Below are 14,718 nucleotides of genomic sequence, written 5' to 3'. Positions count from 1 at the left end.
GATTATGATGCTATTGGTATTGATAAGTGCTTGAACATCAAGATGCTAAAGTGTACATTTCTCCCCTCCCATACTTAACGCTAGCTGTCATTGATTTCTTTGATATTAGTAAATCTATTTGTTCTAATGCACATTCTTTGACATACCTTCATTTATGCTTTTTTCGGTTAATATTTCATCATTTCCAAACTACCTTTGGCCAGTTAAAATTGGGGTGTTTTTCTGTCTTTGGACTGAAAAGTTAAATCTGTTGATCCTTTTTCTATTTTATGTAATATAAGTAGTTTCTCCCAGGGTGTCTTGCTTTTCACTATATAAAAGTGTTGAATCTTCATATAATCAAATGTACCTATACTTTTCTTTGTGATTTATGCCTTTAATGTTATTCTCAGAAAGTCCTTCTCTACCCCAAGATTTTAAATATATTCACCAAGATTTCTGTTTTGAGCTTATTTTCTTCATTTAAATAAAATCGCTGCCCTGAATTTACTTTGTCTTAAGGCATAAAGTGTAGAAATTTACTTTTCTCCTGTGTGACTAATAGTTTTCACAGCATCAAAATATCATCCCCCTGTATTGTCCTTACCCTGTTTTAGTGATCTAGAGCGAGATCAGGAAGACCAGAGAGTCAGTACAGTGTTTTCATTGCTTTGCATCATGGCCATCTCCGTACCGCCAGAGTCTGTACCAGAGAAAAATGTGTCCAGTGGGAGAGATAGCACCTGCCCTTGATACGAATCCCATTTCATTAAAAATGGTCTTGTTAGTGTCATGTAGCTTCCACCTTCTATTGATAAAAAATAAGTCATGGTCATAGTTAATATTTGTGCTTTGAATTCCACTTTGATATTAATATTGGAACTTATAGTGTTTTAAGGTTTAGTATCTCAAGTCTTTTTCTCTTTTCTTTTTCTCTTTTTTTTTTTTCTGAGACGGAGTCTCACTCTGTGGCCAGGCTGGAGTGCACTGGCATGATCTTGGCTCACTGCAACCTCCACCTCCCAGGTTCAAGCCATTCTTCTGACTCAGCCTCCCGAGTGGCTGGGACTACAGGTGTACATCACCACGCCCAGCTAATTTTTGATATTTTTAGTAGAGATGGGGGGTCGCCTAGGATGGACTCGATCACTTGACCTCGTGATCTGCCCGCCTCAGCCTCCCAAAGTGCTGGGATTACAGGTGTGAGCCACCACACCCGGCCTCTATCTCTTTATTTTTAAACTGTCATTTAAATTTAGTTTTTGTCTCTTGTGTATAGCATGTAATGCCTTTGATTTTAAAGTTATCTGAGTGTATTTCTCATGGAATATGGGAGGAATATGTTTGTATTTATGATTTCTGGTATGTTTGGCTTTATTGTCTTTTTCTTTATGAAAAATACTTTGATATTTTCTTTTTAAATTATTCTATATTTTGCTAGTAATTGATTTGTTTTTATCCCTTACATTTTTTACTGATAGGCAAGTCAGAAGCCCATTTCTAGTCCATCAGTTTATATTTAAATATTTAGAAAACATAATTATACCATTTTTCTCCATCAATATCGAGAATAAAACTGGACTTGTATCTGTAGAAGATAAGAAATGCAATCTGCCTTTACTTCTATCTTCTTCCAAACCTTGAATCCTAGTGTAAGAATGCCTAAAATTTAAATCAATACTATTATTGATAATTTTATATTATCTTTACTTTTAGAATCGTTTATTTACATTTTCACCTACATTTTTATGCTACATTAACAGTTGTTATTTAGACTTACTTCTGAGTTTATATTATTTACCATCTTTTCTCTATAAGTCATGTTCCTTATTGCTCTGTTCTTCATTTTGATTCATTGCTCCGCTGACTCAAGCACTTGGAGTAATTATTTTTAGGAAAGGCACATAGAGGCTATGCTTTGAGTTGCTGCATGTTGGAGTGTCTGTCTGTTGCTCTCAAATGTGAACAGTACTTTTCCTGGATATGGATATATTGAGTCATAGTTATTTCCCTGCAAACTCTGCATGTAACTGCTTGAAGCTGCATTTACATAGTACACTTTTTTAACCAAAATAAGTCTCAATTGTATATTTACTTGGTACAGTTTCAGGGGACACTGAAACAGATTGAAGGGGCTAAAGCCACCCAAGCCACTCCTTCATGCCTTCATGATCTATCAGGCTTGGTTCTGTATGGTGATATTGTCAAGTGAATTCAGATTGATGACATTTCCTTGATACCCAGAGATCCAGTAGACTGTGTGGGATCAGAGGTTCTTGTAAAAAGAGAATGGCAACTTCCGGAGAGAATTCGCCTCTTTTGGCCAACTGATCCTCTGTCTACATCAGCCTTAACTTTCTAAGCCTGGGTAGAGGTGGTGGGTCCAGGTGGATGAGGGGAAGATTAGAAGGATTGGGGATTTCCTTTATCTCAGGTTAACCTAACATCATTCATCAGAGGCCAATTTTGCTTTTTTTAACTTTTATTTTAGGTTTCGAGGTACACGTGAAGGTTTGTTACATAGGTAAACATGTGTCAGGGTGGTTTGTTTTACATATTATTTCATCACCCAGGTATTAAGCTCAGTACCCAAATAGTGATCCTTTTTGCTTGTCTCTCTCCTCCTACTCTCCCCACTTAGGTAGACCCCAGTGTTTGCTTCCCTCTTTGTGTTTTTACATCCTTATCACTTAGCTATACCACTTACAGATGAGAACATTCAGTATTTGATTTTTGCTTTCTGCACTAGTTTGCTAAGGATGATAGCCTCCAGCTCCATCCACGTTCCCACAAAAGACAGGATCTCATTCTTTTTTTCTTTTTTTGAGACGGAGTCTCTCTCTGCTGCCCAGGCTGGAGTGCAGTGGCACAGTCTCGGTTCACTGCAAGTTCTTCCTCCTGGGTTCACGCCATTCTTCCTGCCTCAGCCTCCCGAGTAGCTGGGACTACAGGCGCCCGCCACCACGCCCAGCTAATTTTTTTTGTATTTTTAGTAGAGACGAGGTTTCATCGTGTTAGCTGGGGTGGTCTTGATCTCCTGACCTCATGATCTGCCCGCCTCAGCCTCCGAAAGTGCTGGGATTACAGGCGTGAGCCACCGTGCGCAGCCGATCTCATTCTTTTTTATGGCTGCATAGTATTCCATGGTGTATATGTACCACATTTTCTTTATCCAATCTGTCATTGATGGGTATTTGTGTTGATTCCATGTCTTTGCTATTGTAAATAGTGCTGCAGTGAACATTCACATGCATATGCTTTACAGTAGAATGATTTATATTCCTCTGGGTATATACTAGGTAATGGGATTGCTCAGTCAAATAGTAGTTCTACTTTTAGCTCTTCTAGGTGTCGCCATACTGCTTTTTACAATGGTTGAACTAATTCACACTCCCATCAACAGTGTATAAGTGTTCCCTTTTCTCTGCAACCTTGCCAGCACCTGTTATTTTTTGACACTTTAATAATAGCCATTCTGACTATTGTCTGGTGTGAAATGGCATCTCATTGTGGTTTTGATTGGCATTTCTCTAATCTGTGATATTGAGCTTTTTTTCGTATGCTTCTTTGCCACATGTATGTCTTCTTTTGAGAAATGTCTGTTCATGTCGAAGGCCAATTTTGGCAGTGCCCCAGTTCTCCTCAGTGTCTGTCCTCTTTTATTCTCCAGTCTTAGGCACAGGCTGTGAGCATTGTCTTAGGATTCGTGCCTCTTGGGGTGAAATTTGAGTCCTGTGTTGGAGGCTTCAGTATGATAGAAACTTCCTGAAGGCTTCAGTAGGACAAAAAATTGTTCCTCATCAGCTACCTTGTCTTCAGCCATAAGGTAAAATGAGGCATTACTGGGGGCTCCATCAAACAGGTTCTCCTTTCTTGGATTAATGGAAGGAGCCCAGTCTTTCAGGTGTTTCTCCTTTGAAGTGTATCTTACTAAAATGTCTTACCGCTGCAGTTCCTATGCCACCTCAAAGGCAACTGTCACTAATGTGTATCTGTTCACTAGGTGTCTAGTTGGAAAGAGATGACAAGAGCATCATTTACTCCCTATGCTCATCCCTGAAATACCTTATTTTATTGCTGTGGAAACTGAGATCTGGCCAAAGTTTGATGACTTGCCCAGGCTGGCATTAAAATACAGTTCTCTTCTACCCCTCTTTTCTTTTTTCATGCTATATTCCTTGAGTTGATGACCACAAGTTTAAGCTTAGTATTGCCATAAAGTTGGAGTTGGGGCTTTGCATGCAATGGAAATATTACTAAACATCCAAAGTTTACTGTCTTATTCACATATATTCTGGATAGGAAAGTAAAATACTCATGGAGCAGAAAAGATAAAATTTTAATTATTAGTAAAAAGCATTTTGTTATACAACTTCTGAATAATTTTCTTTTAAAATTGTATTTATAAAGGCCTTTGTTTTTTGGTTAAATTTATAAGTTAGAAGAAATCTGATTGATTTTATTTTTGCTTGTTTTTGCAGCAGCAGGATTAAGAAAATTGTTCATTCAATTGTGTCATCCTTTGCAGTTGGGTATGTGAGACATAGAAAACACCATGTATTAAATATACCTGAGACTTAATGCATAAAAAACACCACGTATTAAATATATCTGAGACTTGGCCAGGTGCGGTAGCTCACGCCTGTACTCCCAGCACTCTGGGAGGCCAAGGCAGGTGGATCACCTGAGGTCAGGAGTTCAAGACCAGCCTGGCTAACACGGTGAAACCCCGTCTCTATTAAAAATAAAAGAATTAGCCAGGCATGATGGCGAGTGCCTGCAATGCCAGCTGCTCGGGAGGCCTAGGTGGAAGAATCGCTTGAACCTGGGAGGCGGAGATTGGAGTGAGCTGAGATCACACTATTGCACTGCAGCCCAGGTGACAGAGCGAGATATATATATATCTCGCTCTTTCAATGAGAAAGACTGAAATAAAAAACAAAACCAAAAAGCATTTCCTGTCCATCGGTTTCTAAGTAGCCATGTGCCCCATCTAATGTAATCTAATTTATCATGGAAATTTGGTTTAAGCTGGACTTTAAGACTTGCAAAGAAACGGCTTTTGTATAAGATTAATAGTAACATATTAATATTATTTTTCTTCCATCTGCACAAGTAAAGTTAATGAAAATCGAATGATAAAATTCTATAATTATAAGTAAAGTGTTTTATTAAGTACCTTATACATCTAGAATTACTCTTTAATTCTGGAAACAATTTACTCAGACTCTTCTCTACGTAAGAGTAAGATTTCATACTATGATATAGATTTACGCAATATGATATAGATTTACGCAATATAATTGTTTCCTTTTGAATTAATGATATTTTAACTTGAGCTGCAACTTTTTGAAAAGTACTTTGAAGATGAATTCATCTTCATAGATTAAGCAAATAGTATAATCAATTTATGGGGAATGTATTTAGAATATGTAACAGCAAGTTTCAGGAGGTACCTTAGAGTTCAATACTATAAATATTTATGGAATTGAATTCTTTCTCATGTACCCATCACTGTACTAGAATCGCCCATAAATATGTAATCATGTACTTGCTGAAAATGTCACTGACAAAAAAATCTTGGTCTTTTAAGAGCTTATGTTACTCATGCTTTCATTTGGTTTTTATTAATAAATCCTTAAGAATTATCCAGATTAATAAGATTTTATTTTTTATGAGAAATGGGTGTAAACTTCTTATGAAATTCTCAAATTTTAAGAAGAGTTTACAAACAGACACAGGCAATTTTAGTTCAGTTTCACTTTTCTCTCTTGAGGTGTTAGTCTGATGGATCTGCTATAAAAGGGCATGATAACGTCTTGTGAAGTGGTTTGGTGGGAATTTTATTTATTAAGAACTGCTTCTATTGGGTGAAAACAGTGATTTTTCTGAGATTCTATGACATTACAGTTTTTCCTGCCACTGGGCAGTTTAATACTAAATAATAACATTTTGGTACCCGATCATTGGCCTAAATATAGTATAACTATAGGGACAAAAGCCCCTTTATCTTTGTTGTTACTTACTTATTTATTCATTTATTTATTTGTTGTAGAATATTTGGAGTTTTCCTGATCTTGTTGGATGTGGCTCTGATCTTTGCTGACCTAATTTTCACTGATAGCAAAGTTTATATTCCTTTGGAGTATCATTCTATTTCTCTAGCTATTGCTTTATTTTTTCTCATGGATGTTCTTCTTCGAGTATTTGTAGAAGGGTAAGTTTGATTATTTTTATAATGCATAAAGCTATTTTGTACTTTTCTAAGAAGCACTTTGGGAGGCTGAGGCAGGTGGATCACGAGGTCAGGAGTTCAAGACCAGCCTGGCCAAGATGGTGAAACCCTGTCTCTACTAAAAATACAAAAATTAGCTGGGCATGGTGGCGGAAGCCTGTAATGCCAGCTACTCGGGAGGCTGAGGCAGGAGAATTGTTTGAACCCAGGAGGCAGAGGTTGCAGTGAGCCGAGATTGTGCCATTGCACTTCAGCCTGGGTGACAGGGTGAGACTCCGTCCCAAAAAAAAAGAGGCATATTAAAATAATTAACAGGAGCATTCAACTCAAGCTGACTTAAAAGCCTTTGGGCCTTAGGAGAACCTTGGTGGTAGTCTGGCAGTACCCCCCATGGTCTGTGTTTGAGTGAGGTGGCCATGGATTGATGCTCCTCTGCTTTTGGAGAGGGGTTGAAAGAGTAGCGAGGATTGCATCTTGTGGTTTGAGTGACAGCTCAACCAGCTCAGCTATAGCACATAAAACACCAGGTAGAATTATAAGTTTCTGATCTAGGCCCTGATTCCCAGCACCTTTGGACCCACCCGGAGCCTGGGAGAACTTGCCATCGTGAAGGGAAGGACACAGGCCTGACTGTTTTTACCATGTGATGATCGTAGAGCCCCAGGGCCTTCAGCAAACTTATGCAATAGCTAGGGAGTGGTTACAGCAGGTTTTGGGCAAGACCCAGTGCTGTGCTGGCTTCACGTCTGACCCAATGCAGTCATAGTAGCGGTGGCCACAGGGGTGTTTGTGTCACGGTGGCTCAGAACAGAGAGAGAGACTCTGTTTGTTTGGGAGAAATTAAGGGAAGAGAACAAGACTCTCTTTTTGGTAACCCAGAGAATTATCCTGCATGTTGTCCAAGACCATTAAGGCAGTACCACTATGAGTCTGCAGGAACCACAGAGTTTAGGAGGCTTGGGGTGCCCCCTAAAGCAGATACAACTTAGATCACAATATCCAAGTTCTTTCCAATATCTGGAAAGCCTTCCTGAGAAAGATAGGTACAAACAAGCCCTGACAGGGAAAACTACAATAAATACCTAATTCTTCAATGCCTAGACACCAAAGAACATCTGCTAGCATCAACACTGTCCGAGAAAACATGACCTCACCAAATGAACTCAATAAGACACCAGAGGCCAATCCTGGGGAAACAGAGATACGTGACCTTTCAGACAAATCAAAATAGCTGTGTTGAGGAAACAGAAATAAATTTAAGATAACACAGATAAAAAAATCATAATTCTATTAGATAAGTTTAACAAAGAGATTGAAATAATTAAAAAGAATCAGGCAGAAATTCTGGAGCCAAAAAATGTAATTGGCATACTGAAGAATGTATTAGAGTCTTTTAATAGCAGAATTGATCAAGCAGAAGAAAGAATTAATGAGCCTGAAGGCAGGCTATTTCAAAATACATAGAGGAGACAAAGGAAAGAATTAGAAACAATGAAGCATGCCTACATGATCTAGAAAATAGCATCAAAAGGGCAAATCTAAGCGATACTGGCCTTAAAGAGGAGGTGCAGAGAGAGAGGGGTTAGAAAGTTTATTCAAAGGGATAGTAACGGAACTTCCCAAACCTATAGAAAGATATCAGTATCCAAGTGCAAGAAGGTTACAAAACACCAAGCAGATTTAACTCAAAGAAGACTACCTCAAGGCATTTAATAATCACACTCCCAAAGATCAAGGATAAAGGATCTTAAAAGCAACAAGAGAAAAGAAACCAATAATATACAATAGAGTTACAATACAGCTGGCAACAGACTTTTTAATAGAAATGTTTCAGGCCAGGAGAGAGTGACATGACATATTGAAAATGCTGAAGGAAACAAAACATTTACCCTAGAACAATATATTCAGTGAAAATATCCTTCAAAGTGAAGGAGAAAGAAAGATTTTTCCACACAAACAAAAGCTGAGGGATTTCATCAACACCAGACCTGTCCTAGAAGAAATGCTAAAGGGAGTACTTCAATCAGAAAGACAAGGACATTAGTGAGCAATAAGTAACTACCTGAAGGTATAAACCTCACTGGTAATAGTAAATACACAGAAAAATACAGAATGTTACGACACTGTAACTATGGTGTATAAACTACTCTTATTGTAAGTAGAGAGACAACTATGAGCCAATCAAAAACATTGACTATAACAACTTTTCAAGACATAAATGGTATAATAAGATATAAATAGAAATAACAGTTAAAAAGTAGTGAGACTAAGTTGTAGAGTTTGTATTAGTTTTCTTATTACTTGTTTGTTTATGCAAACTTATTTTATAAGCTTAAAAATAATGGGTTATAAGATAGTATTTGCAAGCCTCATGGTAACCTCAAACCAAAAAAATACAAGGGATACACAAAAAATAAGAAACATGAAACTAAATTATATCACCAGAGAAAATTACCTTCATTAATGGAAGACAGGAAGGAAAGAAGGAAGAGAAGACTACAAAACAACCAGAAAACAATTAACAAAATGGCAGGAGTAAGTCCTTGCTTATCAATAATAACATTGAATGTCATCAGACTAAACTTTTCAATCAAAAGACAGAATGGCTGAATGGATGAAAAAACAAGACCCGGCTGGGCACGGTGGCTCACACCTGTAATCCCAGTACTTTGGGGAGCTGAGGCGGGTGGATCACAGGGTCAAGAGATGGAGACAATCCTGGCCAACAGGGTGAAACCCCGTCTCTACTAAAAATAGAAAAATTAGGTGGGCGTAGTGGTGCACACCTGTAGCCCCAGCTACTCAGGAGGCTGAGGCAGGAAAATCTCTTGATCCCAGGAGGCGGAGGTTGCAGTGAGCCGAGATCGTGCCACTGCACTCCAGCCTGGTAACAGAGTGAGACTCCACCTCAAAAAAATAAAAATAAAAACAAAACAAAACAAAAAACAAAAGACCCATCGATCTGTTGCCTACAAGAAACACTCTTCTCCCATTAGTCTGAAAATAAAGGAATGGAAAAATATATTCCATTCCAGTAGAAACCAAAAAAGAGCAGGAGTCGCTATCCTTGTATCAGATAAAATAGATTGCAAGACAAAAACGATAAGAAGAGACAAAGAATGTCACTATATCATGATAAAGGGATCAGTTCAGCAAGAGGCTATAACAATTTTAAGTATATATTCATCCAACATATATAGCCAATATATATACTGAGACCCGATGGCTTCCCTGCTGAATTCTACCAAACATTTAAAGAAGAACGAATACCACTCCTGCTTTAACTGTTCCAAAAAGCAGAAGATGAAGGAATACTTCCAAACTCATTCCACAAGGCCAGTATTACCCTGATATCAAAAGCAGACAAAGATGCGTCAAAAAAAGAAACAGGCTGGGAGCAGTGGCTCCCACCTGTAATCGCAGCACTTTGGGAGGCTGAGGCAGGTGGATTACCTGAAGTCAGGAGTTCAAGAGCAGCCTGGCCAATATGGTGAAACCCTGTCTCTACTAAAATTAGAAAAATTAGCTGGGCATGGTAGCAGGTGCCTGTCATCCCACCTACTCTGGAGGCTGGGGCATGAGAATCACTTGAACCTGGGAATGAAAGTTGCAGTGAGCCCAGATCATGCCACTGCACTCCAGCCTGGGTGACAGAGTGAGACTCTGTCTCAAAAAAAAAAAAAAAAAAAAAAACAGGCCAATATATCTGATGAATATTGATGCAAAAATCCTCAACAAGATACTAGAAAACTGAATGTAACAATACATTGGAAGGATCATTCATCATGACAAATGGGATTTATCCCTGGGATGCAAGGATGGTTCAAAATATGCAAATCAACCAAAGTGATACATCATATCAACACAATAAAGGATAAAAGCTGTAAGATCATTTCAGTTAATGCTGAAAAAGTGCTGGATAAAATTCAACGTTTCTTCATGATAAACACTCTAAAAAAACTGGGTAAAGAAATAACACACCTCAATATAATAAAAACCATATATGACAGATCCCCAGTCAGTATCATACTGAGTGGGGAACAATGGAAAAGCTTTCCTCTGAGATCTAGAACACAAGTAGGATGCCCACTTTCACCAGTGTTATTCAACATAGTACAGGAAGTCCTAGCTAGAGCATTCACAGAAGATAAAGAAATAAAGGGAATAAAAACAAATCCAAATTGGGAAGGAAGAAGTAAAATTATCCTTGTGTTTGCAGATGATATATTTTATTTGGAAAAAACTAAAGAGTCCACAAAAAAATATTAGAATTGATAAATTCAGTAAAGTTGCAGGATACAAAATCAACATACAAAAATCAGTAGTATTTTTATATGCCAACAGTGAACCATCTGAAAAAGTTTTAAAAAGTGATCCTATTTACAATAGCCAGAAATAAAATTAAAAATCTAAGAGTTAACCAAAGACGTGAAAGATCTTTATAATTAAAACGATAAAACACTGATGAAAGAAATTGAAAAGGACACCACAAAATGGAAAGAGATTCCATGTTCATGGATTGGAAGAATCGATATTGTTCAAAAGACCATACTATCCAAAGCAATTTACAGATTCAATGCACTCCCTATCAAAATAGCAATGACATTCTTCACAGAAATAGAAAAAAAATCCTAAAATTTATATGGAGCCATAAAACACCCAGAATAGCAGCTATTCTAATCACAAAGAACAAAGCTGGAGGAATCACATTACCTGACTTTAAATTATACTACAGAACTATAGTAACCAAAACAGCATGGCCCTTGCATAAACAGACACATAGACCAATGGAAAAGCATAGAGAACCCAGAAACAAATCCACACGCCTACAGTGAACTCATTTTCAACAAATTTGCCAAGAACATACATTGAGGAAAAGGCAGTCCCTTCAACAAATGGTTCTGGGAAAACTGGATATCCACATGCAGAAAAATGCAGCTAGACCCCTACCTCTCACCTTATATAAAAATCCAATCAAAATGGATCACATACTTAAAGATAAGACCTCAAACTATAACAGGAGAACATTGGGAAGAATCTTCCGGACATTGGTCTGAGCAAAAATTTCTTGAGCAATACCCTACAAGTACAGGTAACCAAAGCAAAAATGGACAGATGGGATCACATGAAGTTACAAAGGTTCTTCATAGCAAAGGAAACAATTAACAAAGTGAAGAGACAGCCCACAGAATGGGAGAAAATATTTGCAAAATACCCATCTGACAAGGGATAAATAACCAGAATATATAAGGAGCTCCAACAACTCTATAGGAAAAAAATCTAATACTATGATTTTTTTAAATGAGCATAAGATTTGAATAGACATTTCTCAAAAGGAAACATACAGATGGTAAACAGGCATGTGAAGAGGTGCTTAACATTGATCATTAGAGAAAACTACAGTGAGATATCATCTCATCCCAGCTAACATGGCTTATATCCAAAAGTCAGGCAATAACAAATGCTGGCAAACATGTGGAGATAAGAGAACCCTCATACACTGTTCGTGGGACTGTAAATTAGTAGAACCGCTATGGGGAACAGTTTGGAGGTTCCTCAAAAAATCTAAAAGCCACCATATGATCCAGAAATCCCACTGCTGGGTATGTACCCACAAGAAAGGAAATCAGTAGATAGAGGAGATACCTGCATTCCCATGTTTGTTGCAGCACTGTTCATGAGAGCCAAGGTTTGGAAGCAACCTGTGTTCATCAACAGATGAATGGATAAAGAAAATATAGTACATATACACAAGAGAGTATTATTTAGCTATAAAAATGAATGAGATCCTGCCTTTTGCAACAACATAGATGGAACTGGAGATCACTACGTTAACTGAAATAAGCCAGGCACGGAAAGACAAACACCACATGTTCTCACTTATTTGTGGGCTCTAAAAGGGTTAACAGTTGAACTCATAGACATGAGTAGAAGGATGGTCATCAGAGGCTGGGAATGGTAGTAGGAGGTTGGGGGTGGGGAGGTGAGGATGGTTAATAGGTACAAAAAAATAGAAAAAAATGAATAACACCTACTGTTTGCTAGCACAACAGGGTGACTATAGTCAATAACAATTGTACATTTTAAAATGACTGAAAGTGTAATTGGATTGTTTGTAACACAATGATAAATGCTTGAGGGGATAGATACCTCATCATCTATGATAAGGGTGGTTAATATGCATTTAATTATATGTCTTGCTATACTTAAATTGCCATATTGGTGTTTTAGTTATATATATGTGTCAAATGATGAATATAAATTTATTGTTTGAAAACTTCCCATGAATGTTATATTTTTCCCTTAGTCTACTCTAGAAAATGCATTTTAAATAATGTATGAAAGTAGAATTCTTAATGGGGATCAGTCAATAGTTGTGGTCTTTAAATATTCCTATCTCTTCTTGCAGGGGAGATGAACTCATATTTTTCTGTTTTATATTACAGGAGACAGCATTATTTTTCTGATTTACTTAACATTTTAGATACTGCTGTTACTGTGATTATTCTGCTGGTTGATGTCGTTTACATTTTTTTTGACGTTAAGTTTCTTAAGGATATTCCCAGGTATGAAATATAAGACTCACTTCTCTTAAAATTTTTCATTTACTTTTTGCATTTTCTGTGGCTTTTATTCTGTATAATCTTTTCAACTTCAAATGGCTCATTTTATACCAAATATGTTGCTTTAAAATGAAATGTTTAGGTAAATTCCCACATAGGTTGAAACTAAAAGATTGTGATACTTAGGGACCAGTGAAGAGTATACACACCAAGTACCATTCATTGAATAAAAAAGATGGAGTAGCCAAAGAAGGACTTTACTTCCTGTACTAACTTTAACTTCACTACATTTTGAAGTTCTCGTCAAATTCCCATTTGTATCATTTTTGGCCTTTTGGCTAAGATCAAGTGTGACATTCTTATTAGTTTCATATGTGATACATAAAAAAATTTGATATTAAAAACAATTCCCCTCTGTGCTTCAACTACAAATCCCTTACACATAATGTTCTCTCTGGGTTTTTCCCACAGCCAAGAGGGAATTTATTTGAGCATATGCAAAATTTGAGTGACTTTAATCACAATTTTCTTTCTTTTTTTTTTTTTCTAGTTTTAGTGGTCTTTTTTTTTTAATTTTTTTTTTATTATACTTTAAGTTTTAGGGTACATGTGCACATTGTGCAGGTTAGTTACGTATGTATACATGTGCCATGCTGGTGCGCTGCACCCACTAACTCGTCATCTAGCATTAGGTATATCTCCCAATGCTATCCCTCCCCCCTTCCCCTACCCCACCACAGTCCCCAGAGTGTGATATTCCCCTTCCTGTGTCCATGAATCACGATTTTCTTTTCCTTTTTTTTTTTTTTCTTTTGAGATGGAGTCTCACTGTGTTGCCCAGGCTGGAGTTCAGTGGCATGATCTCGGGCTCACTGCAACTTCTGCCCCGCCGGTTAAAGTGATTCTCCTGCCTCGGCCCCCCGAGTAGCTGGGATTACAGGCATGCACCCCCATACCTGGCTAATTTTTGTATTTTTAGTAGAGACGAGTTTCACCATGTTGGTCAGGCTGGTCTTGAACTCCTGACCTCAAGTGATCTGCCCACCCCGGCCTCCCAAAGTACTGGTATTACAAGCATGAGCCACCGTGCCCAGCCTCAATCATGATGTTCTAAGAAATAGAAAACAGAACAGAAAACTAGGAGATGACACGTATAGCAACACAACAGTAGAGTTTTGCAGTATAGTTGTGGTAGAAACAAAGAAAGCTAAGGCAAAGTTAGAACTGTTAGGGATTAGGAAACTAAAGGGTGTATGAGGACCTGGTGACTCTCTTTTTGTTCTTCTTTTCTACTGTGACAATGAGGAAAATGGAAGAGCAAACGTATACTGGGATGGAGATGTTTGTGGCTTCCTAAGCTTGTTCATGGGTCAAATACCGGGTTTCTTTCTGTACCCTAGCTTCCCTGGACTACAACTCAGGCACCAACTAAGCATGTTAAGTGATAGGCTTTTGGAGTTGTTTGAAAATCACCTCAGCCAATGTGGTCCTCTGACTAGAAACCTCAGCATCACTTGAGAGCTTGCTAGAAATACAAGAAAAATACCTTAGGCCCCACCCTGGACCCACTGAATCAATATCTCTGGGATCCAACAATCTGTAGCTTAACACGCTTTTCCAGATGACTCTTCTTTATGCATGCTTAAACCAGATAAGCACTAGTCCAGACCATCAGTTATCTGCTTTGATGTTTCTGACGGTAGGAGAGATACCAGCTAGCACACTTGGGAAGTATCTCAATCTGTTGCCTGCCTAATGTGCATTAGCAGCTGTAGTGAACCTCTGTTACAGATGGGAGTAACAAAGGTGAACAAGAATCCTCAATTTGTTTTGATGTGGAAAAATTGAAAATGCTAGTCTCAAATCCCAACATTAAATTTACAAATTCTAAGACTCTATTGTTTCACTATTTCTCTAGACCAGAATTTTTCAACCTCAGCA

At 37.8% G+C, this 14,718-nt stretch overlaps 1 pseudogene across 1 annotated transcript in view; it reads left to right on the top strand.

Annotated features, from left to right (window-relative positions):
• TPTE2P2 (TPTE2 pseudogene 2) overlaps positions 1-14,718 on the top strand; it is a 104,605-nt pseudogene that overhangs the window by 27,318 nt on the left and 62,569 nt on the right. The window contains exons 8-10 of the transcript XR_007063808.1: positions 4,461-4,511; positions 6,035-6,196; positions 12,661-12,780. The product of XR_007063808.1 is annotated as a TPTE2 pseudogene 2 (transcript). The remainder of the gene's footprint in view (positions 1-4,460; positions 4,512-6,034; positions 6,197-12,660; positions 12,781-14,718) is intronic.

This window comes from Homo sapiens, chromosome 13 (genome assembly GCF_000001405.40).
Source record: "Homo sapiens chromosome 13, GRCh38.p14 Primary Assembly".
In the NCBI taxonomy this organism is placed as follows: Eukaryota; Metazoa; Chordata; class Mammalia; order Primates; family Hominidae; genus Homo; species Homo sapiens.
The sequence above is the reverse complement of the archived record's forward strand: the minus strand, read 5'-3'. Positions and strand labels throughout refer to the sequence as shown.